Source organism: Homo sapiens, chromosome 20 (genome assembly GCF_000001405.40).
Source record: "Homo sapiens chromosome 20, GRCh38.p14 Primary Assembly".
In the NCBI taxonomy this organism is placed as follows: Eukaryota; Metazoa; Chordata; class Mammalia; order Primates; family Hominidae; genus Homo; species Homo sapiens.
The window spans coordinates 8,707,828-8,723,358 of NC_000020.11; the positions used below are offsets into that span (position 1 = coordinate 8,707,828).

The 15,531-nt window shown below is 40.0% G+C and overlaps 1 protein-coding gene across 2 annotated transcripts in view, besides 2 other annotated features; it reads left to right on the plus strand.

Annotated features, from left to right (window-relative positions):
* Window positions 1-15,531, plus strand: part of PLCB1 (phospholipase C beta 1) — a 752,635-nt gene that overhangs the window by 575,562 nt on the left and 161,542 nt on the right. For both annotated transcript variants that reach the window (NM_182734.3, NM_015192.4), the window contains exons 12-15: window positions 843-925; window positions 8,437-8,521; window positions 9,844-10,021; window positions 14,527-14,594. In NM_182734.3, coding sequence (NP_877398.1) covers window positions 843-925; window positions 8,437-8,521; window positions 9,844-10,021; window positions 14,527-14,594 — 414 coding nt within the window. The remainder of the gene's footprint in view (window positions 1-842; window positions 926-8,436; window positions 8,522-9,843; window positions 10,022-14,526; window positions 14,595-15,531) is intronic.
* Window positions 13,295-13,589: a silencer, noted in NCBI's record as "tiled region #15406; K562 Repressive non-DNase unmatched - State 13:Ctcf". NCBI's record gives its function as "represses a minimal TATA promoter and a strong SV40 promoter by Sharpr-MPRA in K562 cells {active_cell/tissue: K562}" and the evidence as "EXISTENCE:reporter gene assay evidence [ECO:0000049][PMID:27701403]".
* Window positions 14,591-14,640: a silencer, noted in NCBI's record as "silent region_12669". NCBI's record gives its function as "represses an Ori minimal core promoter by ATAC-STARR-seq in GM12878 lymphoblastoid cells {active_cell/tissue: GM12878}" and the evidence as "EXISTENCE:reporter gene assay evidence [ECO:0000049][PMID:35858748]".

Sequence of the window (15,531 nt, forward strand, 5' to 3'; positions counted from 1 at the left end):
TTTTAAAAATGCAGATTGAAAATTGAAGTACTGATACATGTTACAACATGGATGAACTTTGAAACCATGCTAAGTGAAAGGTGGTCGGCACAAACAACCATATATTGTATGGTTACATTTATATGAAATAATTAGAATAGGCAAATCTATGAATACATAAAGTGATGAATGATTGCCTGGGACTAGGTGTGTGGGGTGGGGTGCAGGAATGAGGAGTGACTGCTAGTGGGTACATGGTTTCTTTTTGAGGCGATAAAAATGTTCTAACTTATATTGGGATGGTGCTCGCATGACTCTCTGAATATACTAAAAACCATTGAACTGTACACTTTCAATGGGCAGATTATATCTCAAAAAAGTCACATCTCAATAACAAAGCTTTTTAAAAATACAAGTTGAGTATATACTGTAATTAAAACTAAGCTACATAAATACATGAGAGACAGACTAGAAGTGAATATAATGAAATGCTAACAATGGTTTGGTTCAGAAAGTGGATTTGTGGGTGAAAATTTTTGCCTTCTCTTACTGTCCCAAATGTTTATAATATGATTAGATTTCTTTGATTATTAAAAAATAGATACAATTAGCAAACAGGAGAATCCTCTCCTTTGCATTTCTCTCTCCCCTCCACCAAAATCCAATCTTCTTATAACTTTCCAGAATCAAGAGTCAGAATTAGCACCGTCCAGCAGCCCTCAAAATCCCTTCTAGCCATTTCAGGCCATTCGATACAATTCTCTGAATGGAAAAGACAACTATATTAATAGATTTAATACCTTTCAAGAATATACAGATGAAAAATTCTGGCATACTGAATATACATGTGTTCTCATTTTTAGGAAGTGATAGAAGCAATTGCGGAGTGTGCATTTAAGACTTCACCTTTTCCAATTCTCCTTTCGTTTGAGAACCATGTGGATTCGTAAGTATTCAACACATTCAGGAATGAGTCTTTTTCCCGAATAGGGCATACTGAGTAATTGTTTATCAGATTTAAGATTATTTGACATGATTAATGGTGTTCTTCAATCATGTTGTATATTAACTGGCATGTTTTCATTTGTAGGTGATGGAATTCACTTAAAATAATCAACATTAAAATTATCCGTTGGACTTGTAGGATCTATTTTCATACCATAGTATGGTTTTTAAATTAAAAACTCTTCTTTTTGCAATGCAGTGGAACACATTTTTCTACACAATACATGTCTCTGTTATAGATTTGGGGTGCTGTGGGCCACTTTTATAACCCTTCTTCATTAGCTCCTTCTATTGCACACAATTTGAGTCCACTTCATCACTTTGTGGCAGGTGGGGGGAGAGCTGTGAATTCCATTTTACCAATTTGCACTTACACAGAACTCAGTTCAGCAAATCTCCATATTCCCCCTTTTCACTGGCTTTCCCCTGTTTGTTAATATTTGTATTTGCCAATTTCAAAATAGCCTGCATGTATTGCTGAGCTACACAAAGAAAAGGTTATTTTGACTTCACTGTTTTATATTCATTTTATCACACATTACCAAAGAGAGACACATTTATATCTAATAGATGTATATTAGTTTATCATGTAGTTACTTTAAAGAGCTTCAGAATGAAAGATTCTTATCCATATTGAATGAAAGCCTCTCTTTCATTTCAGGAACCTAAGCCAGATTTTTCAACTAAAAGCCAGCAGCACCTGTCCTAATTTGGATTACGAGTTTCTTTTTACCCTCCTTCCTATTGGGAGTCTTTCCCAGGTCACTGAGCCTCTTTGTCCAAGTAATTTGTAACATGTGCTTCAATTCTCTAATTCTTAAAGAGTTCACTAGATCTTAAAGATGCAGATTGGTCATGGGCAAATTTCAACTTGAAGAATTTCTAAGTAGTTAAATGTGACAATTTTATAATTATCTGTATTTTTTCAGTTTGCCCGCCAGAAATCCATATTATATTTACCGGCTTGTGGTTCTGCTTCATTATGCAACAATCATCCAATGAATGATGTAATCCTTTGGCACATAGTTTCTCCAACGCTTCTGAGGGTCAAAGGAAGAGAAAGGAATTTATTCTGTTCCATGCTATTTCTGTTCTTACTCAAAGGGGCATCTCTAGAAGCAGTATTTAATACCTAGTTTGCTTTGCAACTAGGTTCTGCTTTGCAATTGACTCTGTTAAACAATTTCTCATCTCTGTCAATTCATTTATAATTGGCCTGTAACAATACGTATGAGTCCATTCTTGTACTGCTATAAAGAAATGCCTGGGTAAGAGACTGGGTAATTTATGAAGAAAAGAGGTTTAATTGGCTCACAGTTCCACAGGCTGTACAGGAAGCATGGTGGCATCTGCTCCTGGGGAGTCCTCAGAGAGCTTTTTACTCACGGGAAGACAGAGTGGGAGCAGGTGTCTTACATGGCAGGAGGAGAACTAAGAGAGAGTGGGGAGGTGTCACACACTTTTAAACAACCAGATCTCATGAGAACTCACTATCGCAACAACAGTACCAAGGGGAATGGTGTTACACCATAAGAAATCTCCCCCATGATCCAATCACCTCCCACCAGGCCCCACTTCCAACATCGGGGGTTACAATTTGACATGAGATTTGGGCAGGGATGCAGATTCAAACCATATCACAATACTTGAGCACTTTTCTTTCAGGTATTATAGTTTCGACTTGAGGATGCTTTTTTTTTTTTTTTTTTTTTTTTTTTCTGAAGCGGAGTTTCACTCTTGTTGCCCAGGCTGGAGTGCCATGGCACAATCCTGGTTCACTGCAACCTCCATCTCCCGAGTTCAAGCAATTCTCCTGCCTCAGCCTTCCGAGTAGCTGGGATTACAGGCATGCACCACCATGCTCAGCTAATTTTGTATTTTTAGTAGACACGGGGATTCTCCATGTTGGTCAGGCTAGTCTCGAACTCCCGACCTCAGGTGATCCGCCCACCTCGGCCTCCCAAAGTGCTGGGATTGGCATACTTATGTTCTTAAAGAGAAGTTTCTATTTAAATTAGACAAAATGAAAGGCTATGGTTCCATTCTATATTGTCACACCTGCTACACTGAGCTTCCCCTTGGCATAGCCAGAAAAATATCAACCGCCACCACCACCACCAACATAATAGCTAACCTTTATTAATAGCGAACATTTATTAAACATTTTTTGTGCCAAGCAGTTTTTGAAATATTTTACATGCCTCAGCTCATGTAAGCCTTACCACAAACCCAGGTGCTTCTAAGAGTAAATATTATGATTATCGCCATTTTACAGATGATGGAACTGAGTCCTAAAGAGGATGAATAACTTGCTCAAGGCCATGTAACTAAAACATGACAGAGATGGGATTCCAATCCAGTTAGTGTGGCTTCAAAATGCACACTTTTAACCAACACATCTCCTACGCCTAAACAGAAGCATCAGGAGCCTTCAAAACATCAAATTCAGACAACGAGAGCATCCACCAGGCAATGGCCAGCAAATGTTTGCCTCTGTGGCTTGTAACCCTTAAACACAAGATGTGTTTTGCAGTTCTTCACACTAGTCATTTAGAGATCAAAAACTGGACATGAAAACTAATTTCTGCACTGTGCCTAAAGGCAAAGAGACTAGTGCCATTGTACTGCCCTTATGGGCTTAAAAATGATAAATTTAGCTATTAAAAGTTCATTAATAATTTCTATGTGACAAAAGAAAACAGGAAAACAGCCTTTCCAGGATGCCATGATTGTGTCCCAAGCCACTGAGATAATGTAATGGCAGTGAAATACTAAAAGATAAAATTCTATTGTGGAGGAAGTGGGTGGGAGTTGCTTGCTTCATATTTCCCTTGTCCTTCAGATATCAAAATTGTTCAGCCACCATTCTTTCCTGGGAGGCTAGCACACACCCAAAGAAAACCGATAAGCTTTCCCTTCGCTGGTAAAACCCCGTGCTTGACTTGTGAGCCACTTCATCTAGTTCCTGAGCCCATGGTAGGCAGTAGCAGCACTCTTTCCCACTAACCCTAGAAATAACCTCAGAATCCTTCTCAACACAGTGACCTCAGACTAGACCAGCAAGACATCTGACACCTATTTGCCATCTCTGATGAACTATTTTATTTCCCTGTGTGCTGCATGTATGGAATTTCAGATTCAGAACTCTGGTCCCAGCTCACTTGGGCCACACGTCCAAAACAAATTTATACTAGAAAAAAGGAGAAAAGGACAGGGCACGGTGGCTCACGCCTGTAATCCCAGCACTTTGGGAGGCCGAGACTGGTGGATCATGAGGTCAGGAGATCGAGACCATCCTGGCCAACATTGTGAAATCCAGTCTCTACTACAAATACAAAACAGGTGTTATGGCGGGTGCCTACAGTCCCAGTTACTCAGGAGGCTGAGGCAGGAGAATCGCTTGAACCTGGGAGGCAGAGGCTGCAGTGAGCTGAGATCACGCCACTGCACTCCAGCCTGGGTGACAGAGTGAGACTTTGTCTCAAAAAAACTAAATTAATTAAAAAAGAAAGAAAAAATGAGAAAAGCCACTGAAACTTCTGGTTTTCTCTCCCAATATCTGAAGTCACCTATCCATAGACAATAAAAGGGAATCTGCTATTAGCTGCTTTCAATGTATCCTGTTGCTACATCAGAATCCCATGAAGTGTCTTCAAAATGCAGATTCCTGAGCTACACCCTTACCCTGACTGAGAATTTCTAGAAATAAGACTTGAAAATATATTTTTAAAAGCCCTACTTGACTCTGACATCCTACTTGTGAACTAACACTTTTATAAAAAGAATTCTACACCAAATTCAATGGAAGTAATCTTTACCCATGTTCAGCCACAGAAAGCTGTGAAATTTTGAACAAGGTTCTTAATTTCCATGGATTGCAGATTCCTCCTTTATAGGGAAAGAGGTTGGTTTAGTTCAAACTGGAGGATTTGCTCCCAAGAAATCAAGTGAGTTCCTCGGTCAGAAAAACTGACCTCTGCCCCAGACGCTCACACCTTGGGAGTATTTTATTATGCTCAGAAATGTCTGCTATGACCTGAAGCTCAAAATGCATTTGTGATTTTTTTTCCCTCTCACTTTGTCCCCATGGTAGCTGATATTGATGCTCTAAACACTTCAGGATTTTGTTTTTTGCTAATTGCAATTTTAATGCCTTTTATTTCTGCAGTTCTGACCTGCAATTAAAGTTGGTTTGTTTTCCTCTGACTTTTTCAATTCAATTTGCTCTCTGCTCTGATTTAGTTCCATCAGGTGGGTGTGCATGTTTATTGAGAACATGAATAGCCTGATTACCAAATAGCTCATTTTACTTTTTGCTAGGACACCTACCTCTTGTTCTGTCCATCTCAGTTGATTCTGAGGCAGGTTTTGTTTTTGTTTTTGTTTGTTTGTTTGGTTTGAGGGTCTCACTCTGTCACCCAGGCAGGAGTGCAGTGGTGCAATCTCGGCTTACTGCAACCTCCACCTCCCAGATTCAAGCGATTCTCCTGCCTCCTAAGTAGCTGGTATTACAGGCACGCACCACCACAACTGGCAAACTTTTGCATTTTTAGTAGAGACAGGATTTCACCATGTTGGCCAGGCCGATCTCGAACTCCTGACCTCAGGTGATCTGCCTGCCTCGGCATCCCAAAGGGCTGGGATTACAGACGTGAGCCACCATACCCAGCCCTCAGGCAGGTTCTAAACGTCTACATTAGACATAGATTCTTGTTCTTAAAAGTGTGGTCCTCAGACCAGCAGCATCTGCATCACTGGAGAGCAAGTTAGAGCTGCAGCTGAGTCCTGTACCCCACCCTGGACTCTGTGTTGGACTCTTCATTTTAATAAGACCCCAGGTAACGTGAATGAAATAGAAGAGCTAAGCTGTAACCACCATGGTTTATTAACCACCTGCATCAGAATTATCTGCAGTCTGGCTTAAAATGCATGTTCCGGGGCTTTGGTCCCAGCTACATGAATCAGGGGACTGTGGACTTGATCCTGTCACCTGCAGCATTAACAGCTCAGGTGATTCCTTAGTGGAATTGAGTGATAATCATGGCTCCAGTAAAATCTTTATCTGGGCCTGATTTGGGGACTTCCTGACAGAGGACACCTGTTTGGGGATATTTGGGACATCTCCCTTAAATTCCTCTAATGGAAAGAATATGGTTCCCTGGAAAATCCTGAGAGCAGGGCATTCAGGTAAAATGCCCTGCTTTCACTCCAGGTGTTTGATCAAAGATAATTCGGGGCTCCCAATTTCCAACAGTCAGGAAAAATGTCATCTACTTTGGCACATGCTGACTTACCTTAATCAATCGCAGTGGTTTTCAAGCTTGAACACACACCAGAATCAAGAGGGCTTGTTATGATGCAGACTCCTGGACTCCACTGTCCCGGAGTCTCTGATTCAGAATCTGCATTTCTAACAAGCTCCTGGTGTGATTCTGCTGATGGTTCAGGGGCCACACTTGGAGAAGTAAAGCTCCATGATACTGAGTAGCATCTTTCTGTGAAAGGGAAATGGAGGGTTTGGCCATTTCTTTAGTGCACTCTGGAACATGTCGTCCCAGCACAACTGTACTTCTTATCAGCAGCAGCCACAGAGCAGGCTGACCTGGTAGAACCCCTGTGCAAGTTATCACTGGAGGAAGAAGACTTGAACCCAGGGATGCCCGGGGCTGGCCCTACCAAATCAGCCACTTCTCTGCCTGCTCCCAAAGGTCTCATAGACACAGTTTCTAATGACTTGTCCTTCAGCAACGACCTCCAATGCTTTTCAGGATCAATTCTCTGATTAGCAGTTTTTCTTCTCTCCCTAATACTGCTGAGGAATGTGGCAGTGTATTCTGATGGCCGCATAAGCCATTTAGTAAGCTCCCATACAGACCAAGAGAGGCCTGGTGAGAAGGGGCACGGTTGCTGTGGAGGACTTTGCAAATCCTTTGAATCTCTCCTTAGCCTCTCCCTGCAGTTCCAAGAAAGCAGTGACTTTGGGGTTTCATATTCAAATGCCAGAGAACTCACTTTCCACCCAAAGCACACACTTGGTTTTTTAAAAAGAAAAAAATGAATACAAAATAGTGACTTTTCCTGTGGACCATTTCAATATGATTTGAACCGTCAATACCAACCCCCTAACCCCAGTAAAAAAAAAAAAAGCCCATGATCCAGGCTTAAACATTCATGGAAAAGGGAATGAAAATAAGAATAAGAATCACATTTTATGATCAATTTGAATTTTCGTCAAGAAGGATTTTCATCGCTGTTACTTATTCTTAGTACAGTCACAGTCCTGCTAAAATGTATTATCATTGCAGCATGTAGAGATAACTATTGGAAATCAAGTTCGACAGACTGTAGATCAAATTCAAAATCCATAAAACCCAAAGGAACTGGATAACTTTGTAATGATATTTAACATTCCACGAAATGAGAAAAAAAATTATTGCTTTTTGAAAGGTCAAGGGAAGCAGTAGCATTGAAACAATATGAATGTTCCCCTATATCAGCTGTGTTTACAAGTTACTGGGCGTAGGATTTGTCTAGTCTAGCTGGCGGACGCCGCCTTGTAACAGTGGAATCATCTTACATTTGCCCTGCTCTTTTAATGTTTCAAAGGCGTTTGCATCCATTACTTCATTTCATCTTCTCAGCACCCTCTGTCCCTTTCCAAGAACGGTTATTATTCTCCTCATTTTATAGACCCAGAGTGGTTCAGACCCTGTCGCTCAGCTCAGCAAACCCTGCAGTGCCAGCCTTTTTCCATTATACCAGGTCCCTACTGGCAATATATTCAGAATGATACCACCTTTGCTATTCTGTTATGTATATATGAGTTGCACACACCTTTCCCCAAGGTGCCTGCTACTTTTATCTTTCCTCCAGGACCCCCTCCCCAAGTGGACACACTGTTTGCCTGTCTGCCCTTTTCTACATTTTGAGATTCTCTCCCTCTCTTTTTCTCTCTCCGTTGTCTCTCTTTCCCTATTCAGCTCCCTCCCTGCCATCCTTCCTTATCTATCCTCTTTCATCTCCTCATAAACACTCCTTTGCAGCAGTGGTTTACAAATTTCACTTGATAATTTACATGGAAATATGAAAGGGTTCTTTCTCCAAGTGTCTTGCAATTGACTTGGAATCAGCGAGTTAAACAAAAGGGACTGAGCCTCTAACTCTGGGAATTTCAAGGCTCCAGTTACAGCAAATGACATGCTGTCCCCTCCACCTATGTCTATGCAGGTCTGCCTTGGGAACCACCTCACACATCAGTGCCTTCGCTGTCCATCTGTGTATGTTATTCAAATTCACATAAGTTAAGATAAAGATCCAGGATGATAAAAACCAATCCTGATGGGTGGGATTAGAGAATTACTTCTTTCTGTAGTTAATAACACAAAGCAATCCTGTTCAGGTTCTTTGGATAAGCCTCCCTACTTTCCTTCTTCTGTTCTTGTTCTCCCTTAGCCCAAAGCAGCAAGCCAAGATGGCGGAGTACTGCCGACTGATCTTTGGGGATGCCCTTCTCATGGAGCCCCTGGAAAAATATCCAGTAAGCAGTTCTGATGTTTGTCCTTGAAGGAATGTATGCATTATTGATGAATGAGGTTGAGGGAAAACTTACTTCCTTTTCATATTTATGTTTCTTGGTAAGATTAATGCAGTTGGTGATGAAATCTTTGACAAGGAGGATACCAGCAATGGGCCCCACTAAGGGTAGAGGAATGCCTCTGCACTCTTCCTCTTCCCACACTCTTCTCTCTCGCTGGCTGCCTGATGAAACTCAATCAAGAGTGCAGATTTCCCAACAATTACAATCAGCCCATAGAGACAGTCCAAGAGGACAGGCCTCTGCTCACTCCCAGGGAACCTCGTCACACCTCTTTGAGATGAATGGATTGGCAAAACAGGACACTGCAGGTGGCACAATGTCTTCTTGGCCTGTCCCTGCTGGCTGTTCTCTATTTCCTTGGATGCACCTTTTGGTGTGGCACAACTCAGGTCGCCCATTGCATTGATGATATCTCTGCTTTGGGAAGGAAAGCAGCAGAAATATCCTAAAGTAGCATTTTCCTTCCCGCACCCTTTTGCCCAATCTCCATGCATTTGTAAGTGAGTTTATACCAGTCCCTCCGCTCATTGCAAGCCAAGAATAGAGGACTAACTTAGGCATTCTATAGATTTTCTTAAAGTAACCTATCTTGTGGCTTGCACACATGCTCTCTGATACAATATCTAATGACCCCCTCATGGGAAATTGATTTTCCCGTTAGATGTACAAACTTGAAACAGTCAAAATAAGGCTTGCAAATGTGGTAGCTTGAATCTTAGGGCTGGGAGGAAATCTGAAGCCACCTCATCCACTTCTGTTGATGCCAGGGACGTGCAGCTAAACTACCTAGTACCAGGATGGGGATTTTGCTGATTTTAAGGGGCATCTGAAAAAATGATTTCATGGGCTCACCTGGAAGCTTCTGCCCGTCTTTACCAACTCCTCCTGGCAGATGCCTGGCTTCCCTCCTTCAAAAATTCAGGCCAGGGCCTTCTTATCTGTCCTAAATCAAGATGATTGGGTTTCTATGTTCCATTGGAAAATTCATAAATGTTCAGATTTAGTACATCAAATCTACCAGTACATTTCTATGGTCTTCTTCATGTAGAATATGTTGAAAAAAAAAGTATAGTAATGAAAATATATCTTTGATATAAAAAAAAATTAGCTCCCATGTAAGATACACTAAGAGTTTAATGAGCAGTGTTGAAGGTAGGGAAGAAGTCTAGACATTTGGTATCCACAGCTGATCTGGGGGTCTGGGGAGGGGATCTGAAAGAGGGAGCAGTATTTTTAAAGAATATGCCTTTCATTTCTATTAGCTGGAATCTGGAGTTCCTCTTCCAAGCCCTATGGATTTAATGTATAAAATTTTGGTGAAAAATAAGAAGAAATCACACAAGTCATCAGAAGGAAGCGGCAAAAAGAAGCTCTCAGAACAAGCCTCCAACACCTACAGTGACTCCTCCAGCATGTTCGAGCCCTCATCCCCAGGAGCCGGTGAGGGGCTGGTGGGCTCTCCCCGTCATGTTTTGTGTTGGTTTAAGAATTGCTGCTCTGGGCTGTGCGTGGTGGCTCATGCCTGTAATACTACTACTTTTGGAGGCTGAGGCAGGTGGATTATGAGGTCAGGAGTTCGAGACCATCCTGGCCAACATGGTGAAACCCCGTGTCTTTGGTGGCCAACATGGTGAAATCCTGTCTCTTGCAAAAATACAAAAATTATCTGGGCATAGTGGCACGTACCTGTAGTCCCAGCTACTCGGGAGGCTGAGGCAGGAGAATCGCTTGAACCTAGGAGGCAGATGTTGCAGTAAGACAAGATCCAGCCACTGCACTCCAGCCTGGTGACAGAGTGAGACTCCGTCTCAAAAAAAAAAGAATTTGCTGCTCTGAAATTAGCTTAGAAGGACTTTGAACATTCCTATTTCTGCACAGTTTTGAACTACTGGTTTTCTCTTGCTGCTACAAACTTAGCGGCTTAAACCAGCACAAATGTATTATCCTCTAGTCCTGTAAGTCAGGAAGCCCCCTGGGTTTCACTGGGCTACACTCCAGGTGTCAGCCGGGCTGTGTTCCTTCCTGGAGGCGCTAAGGGAGAAGCTGTTTCCTTGCTTTTTCCAGCTTCTAGAGGCCACCCACATTCGTTGGCTTGGGGCTCCTTCCAGCTTCAAAGCCAGCAAGGCTGCATTTCACTAACCTTTCTCCTGTGGTCACATCTCCCTCTGACCACAGGCAGGAAATGTCCTCTGCTGGCAAGAACTCAAGTCATTACATTGGATCCATCCAGATAATCCAGGATAATTGCTCCCATGTCAAGGTCTTTAACTCCATCTCACCTGCAATGTCCCTTTTATCATGCAAGCTAACATATTCATGGAGCAGAGACATCTCTGGGAGGTCATTATTCTGGCTACCATGTAAGCCAAATAGTCTTCAGAGTGACCATATGACTTTAAGCTTCATAATGGGAAATATTAACTATAGAACTGAGCACTGGATGCATTGTCATTGATGATATGCTGAAGAGTTCTGGGCATTTCAATTTTTTCATGTTTTAAAGAACTTTTTAAAATCTGTGACATGGCAAAATTACTTAAATTATCTTTTGAAGCTCCTAGAGGATGCCTAATATCATTTCTTTTCCTTTTAAATTAAGGGTGAAATAGATTGCTGTGGTTGATGAGAAAAGAATTCAGTGGCACTCATTTCCTTGGGATTATTTGTCATTTAGTCTGATTTATCTTCCAAGTTCAGTCAGAAGCTTGGCAATCTGAAAATCGCATTATAGACATCTCCTGATTGCAGGGTGATTAAGTGGAAGAAACTTTTAAGCTTGACTGTAGGAAGTTTTTCAGTTATAAGTTAAACATAGGAACAATCAATTGGAAAACTACTTAGCAGTGTCTACAAAAGCTGAATATATGCACTCCCTGTACCTCGGGAGTTCCATTCCTAGGTATATGCTTGCTAAAGATGTGTATTTAGGTTTACCAAGAGACACGTACAAGAATTGCTTAAAGCAGAGGTATTCAGAATAGCCAAATACTGGACACCAAATACTCGTCAACAGATAAATGAATTATGGTATATTCACACAAAGAAAGAATATGCAGCCATGAGAATAATCTATAACTAAATGAAAACTATGGATGAATCACTATAAATAAACATAATATTGAGCAAAGGAAGTCAGGTACACAAAAACTACATACTGTATGATTTAACCTATATAACACACAAAAACAGGCAAAACTAATTTATGCTATTTATTAGAAGTCAGGATAATGGGTTCCCTTGGAAGAAAAGCAACCAGCAGGGAGCCCAAGAGCCTTCTAGAGATTGGTTATATTTTGTTTCTTGATCTGGATATCATTTACTCAGACACGTTTATTTGGTGAAAATTCTTTGCACTGTGGACTTACGACGTGTACTTTTCTGTACGCCTGTTATACATCAGTTATAAGATTTTAAAATAATTAAAATATAAACTCTAGGACAATCAGGGTTAAAAAAAAGTAGCCTGAGACTCTGATTTATCTTTTCTTCTATTTTTCTGTCTCAATTGCCTGTTTTTTTATTGTTTCGATTAAAATCTTTATCAACAGACGTTATATAATTCTTTGAAAGGGTTTTGTCCTGTAGCTTTTGAATGTGTACTTTCATCATTATTGTGCATGTCTTTCAACATTTTTTCAAAAATAATTTCTGTACTCAGTAAAAATGTTCTCTTTGAAGTTTGGAAGTGAGTATCATTAACAGGCCTTTCATTCACACCTATTTCCTAACACAACTCTATCCGTTGAATGATAGCAAGCAAACCTTGTCTTCCTTTGCATGTGGGTGCTTGTGTTTTTTACCATCTGCCTTTCCCACTACCAGTTCTCTGCCTCTTATTAACAGGATGCATAACACAAATGACGATTTTTACAGGCAGTGAACATTATTGCTTAATATAGAGAAAGGGCAACAATCTGTTAGTTATTCAGTAGATTTCCTAAGCTAGCCCTGTTGTCTATTATGCAATCAGTGGAAACTTTTGGACATTTTAATATGTAGGTACCTGAATAAAGAGCACCGCTAATTTACCATTTGGTTCGTAGATGTTCACAGTACTGGGAACTCAAGTAACTTGAAAAACGTGACAGGTATTGTATTTCAAAGCTAGTTTACTTATCATGGCCCCTGTTGGCCAGATGCCTCTTGCAGGATTCAGCCCTTTGCTAGTAGACTTGTCCTAAGGAACTAGGGTAACCTAAGATATTTTTTATAGTTCAACAAGATTCCCCCAACATCCCTCCAAAGATTTACAGGAGAAAAATCAGGTTTCTGCTTTTTACAGTAAAGAAAGACAAATTCTTTCTTTCCCACAGACACTAAAGAATGACCTGATTGGCTATTTGAAATGACTGCGAATTGTTGGGTCCCATGAAGTATTTTATAGAAAGCTCTGCCAAACAATTTTTTAATTATTTAATTAAAAGAATCCCCTCTCTGATTTTTTTTTTTTAAAAAAAAAAGGTAATAAGAACTTGGGACAAAAATTTCATTATAAAAATGCTTAAGTGGCAATACCCTAAAAGAATGTGTCTCTAATATTGTAGTAAGATACGTTTTCTATCCAAAATATAATCGATTCACCTTATTAACTAACACAATATCAGCATTATAAAGTGGTTGTATGTGGCTTTCCTTAATAAACAATCCAATACATAAAAACCCTTGCTGGTCCCAGAAATCTTTTTTCCCCTGGAGATTTTTAAGCAATACTTTTTTCACTACTGTCATTCAGTAATTGAACTGTGTCAGCCAAATGAAAACTTTTATAAGCTTCTCAGAGGACAGTGCAGTGGTACTGTCTCCATTTATATAAATCGAGTAGGGCAGCTAACTTTCAGAAGGCTGGCAGTGGGCAGGGGTGCAAGTTACTTCATTGTTGAACCATTATTGCCATCTATTGGGCTCATCGTGCTATTGCATTGTGTGAGCCCTGAAAGATAGTAGTTAAATCAATTTAGAACTTTCGAACCATTTAGAACAACCTCGCTGACTTTTTACTTGAAAATCTTTTTTATATAACGGATATTTCTGGGTCTGACTGAAGCCCATAGCTATGGAAGAATGTAATGCTTCATACTGATATGAATATTTAACCTAGCAGAAATGTCCATTAATTCTTCAGGGGAAAAACAATTCATTTAAATGAGTGTATATTGGCTACATATGAAGCTGAATTATTTCTGATGGAGTTAGATTTCCAATCATGCTGATATTTAAGGACTTACCCATGTTATCCTGCCCTCTTAAAAATAATATCAGCATTTTCTACGATATGCACTTCGTTGTGATGACAATACATCCATCAAATAAGCTTGCAGACAAATCATAGGATAAAGTTGGCCCTTCACGATTTTTATGTAGTGACTTTGCTGCCAAAGCCCCAGAGTTCCTGCCCCAGCTCCTAACTTCTTTGACTTCTGCAAGGTCCTCTCTGGCCTTGGGAAAAATGTCAACACAAGATCACTGAGCTATGTGCTGGCCACGCATTGCATGGAAGAGTCGCGGCTTGGGAAAGGAGGGAAAGATGAAGGAGGGATAGATAGTATATCTGTTTTCGGGGTCATAGAGACCCTGAGAGAGTGTTTGTATATCAAAATAGAATACATGTACCATAGAAAGCAAACTGTATTAAATGCCAGCAAACTGTTTTCAATGCCACGTGTTTAAAAACATATAGAGAAAAAATATTGACACGCATTTTTTAATAGAATTTTGAAATTTTAAGTGCTATTTATTAACAAATCCAGTTTAGGAAAAAATCTATATTCAAAATGTCAGTATAATTTTCTATAACGAATAAAATTTAAATCCTTGAAAAAAATAATTTTAAACAGCCCAACTTCCAAGGAAATCTGTAATTGATTTTAGGTAAAATATGTGTTACAAATGCTGTAAAGCTAAATGTTGAAATGGTGACATGATGATCTGTTATTAAAATTTGACAGGAGAAGCTGATACGGAAAGTGACGACGACGATGATGATGATGACTGTAAAAAATCTTCAATGGATGAGGTGGGTACTTAGGGCTTCTGGTCCCTAAGGCATTCCACCACCCTGTACTCTCCTGGGTCTGTCTCATGGTCACTTTCTGCCATCTAGTGGCAAAAAGTAGATTTGTGCCTTCCAATTGCCAGCTTCAATTTTTGAGGCAATTAAATGGCTTATGAAATGTTCCACAATCCGGAGAAGATATGGCGTTTAGAAAAATGATCAGAACTGTGACATTCATTGCATTGTTTTAATTTTGGAACACTAGAGCTACCTATTTATATAAACTTAGGCATCCCGAGTAACTTGATTAGCTCAAAAATATTAATTGCACAGAACCTAGAAGAGAATCAGAAGCAGATCAACTGGAATTTTAGAATTTTGTCTTACCAAAAGTTTATACTGAAACAATCTGGGCAACAGAGAGAGACCTCACGCCTTTAAAAAAACAAGTTAAAATGAAAGATAAAACACATCCAGGTGCAGTGGTGTACACCTGTAGTTCCAGCTACTAGGGAGGCTGAGGCAGGAGGATGGCTTGAGTCCAAAAATTTGAAGCTGCAGTGAGCTATGATCACACCACTGTGCTCCAGCTTAGAAAACAGAGCAAGACACTGTCTCTCTTTAAAAATACGTATTTTAAAGTTTATATTGAATCTGCTTTCAAATTTGTTAGATATGTTCTGTCTCAACGCTTGTAGCTCTACAATTTAGTAAAAATGAAACAAAAAATAAGCTGCTCTTACTTGATGTCCTTCCTCTTAGAATTATTTTTTAATGTCTAAAGTTTTGCTTAATTATGTTCCCTCACTACATTTCAATTTTTGATTTCCAGGAGGAAAACAGCTTACCATGTCTGGCAAAGTATATGTTCCTGAGAATGATTTCAATTGTGTATAATTTCTGATCAGTGATTCTAAATAATTTTTAAACTCTCTTACTAATTGGATAGTCCATTTGC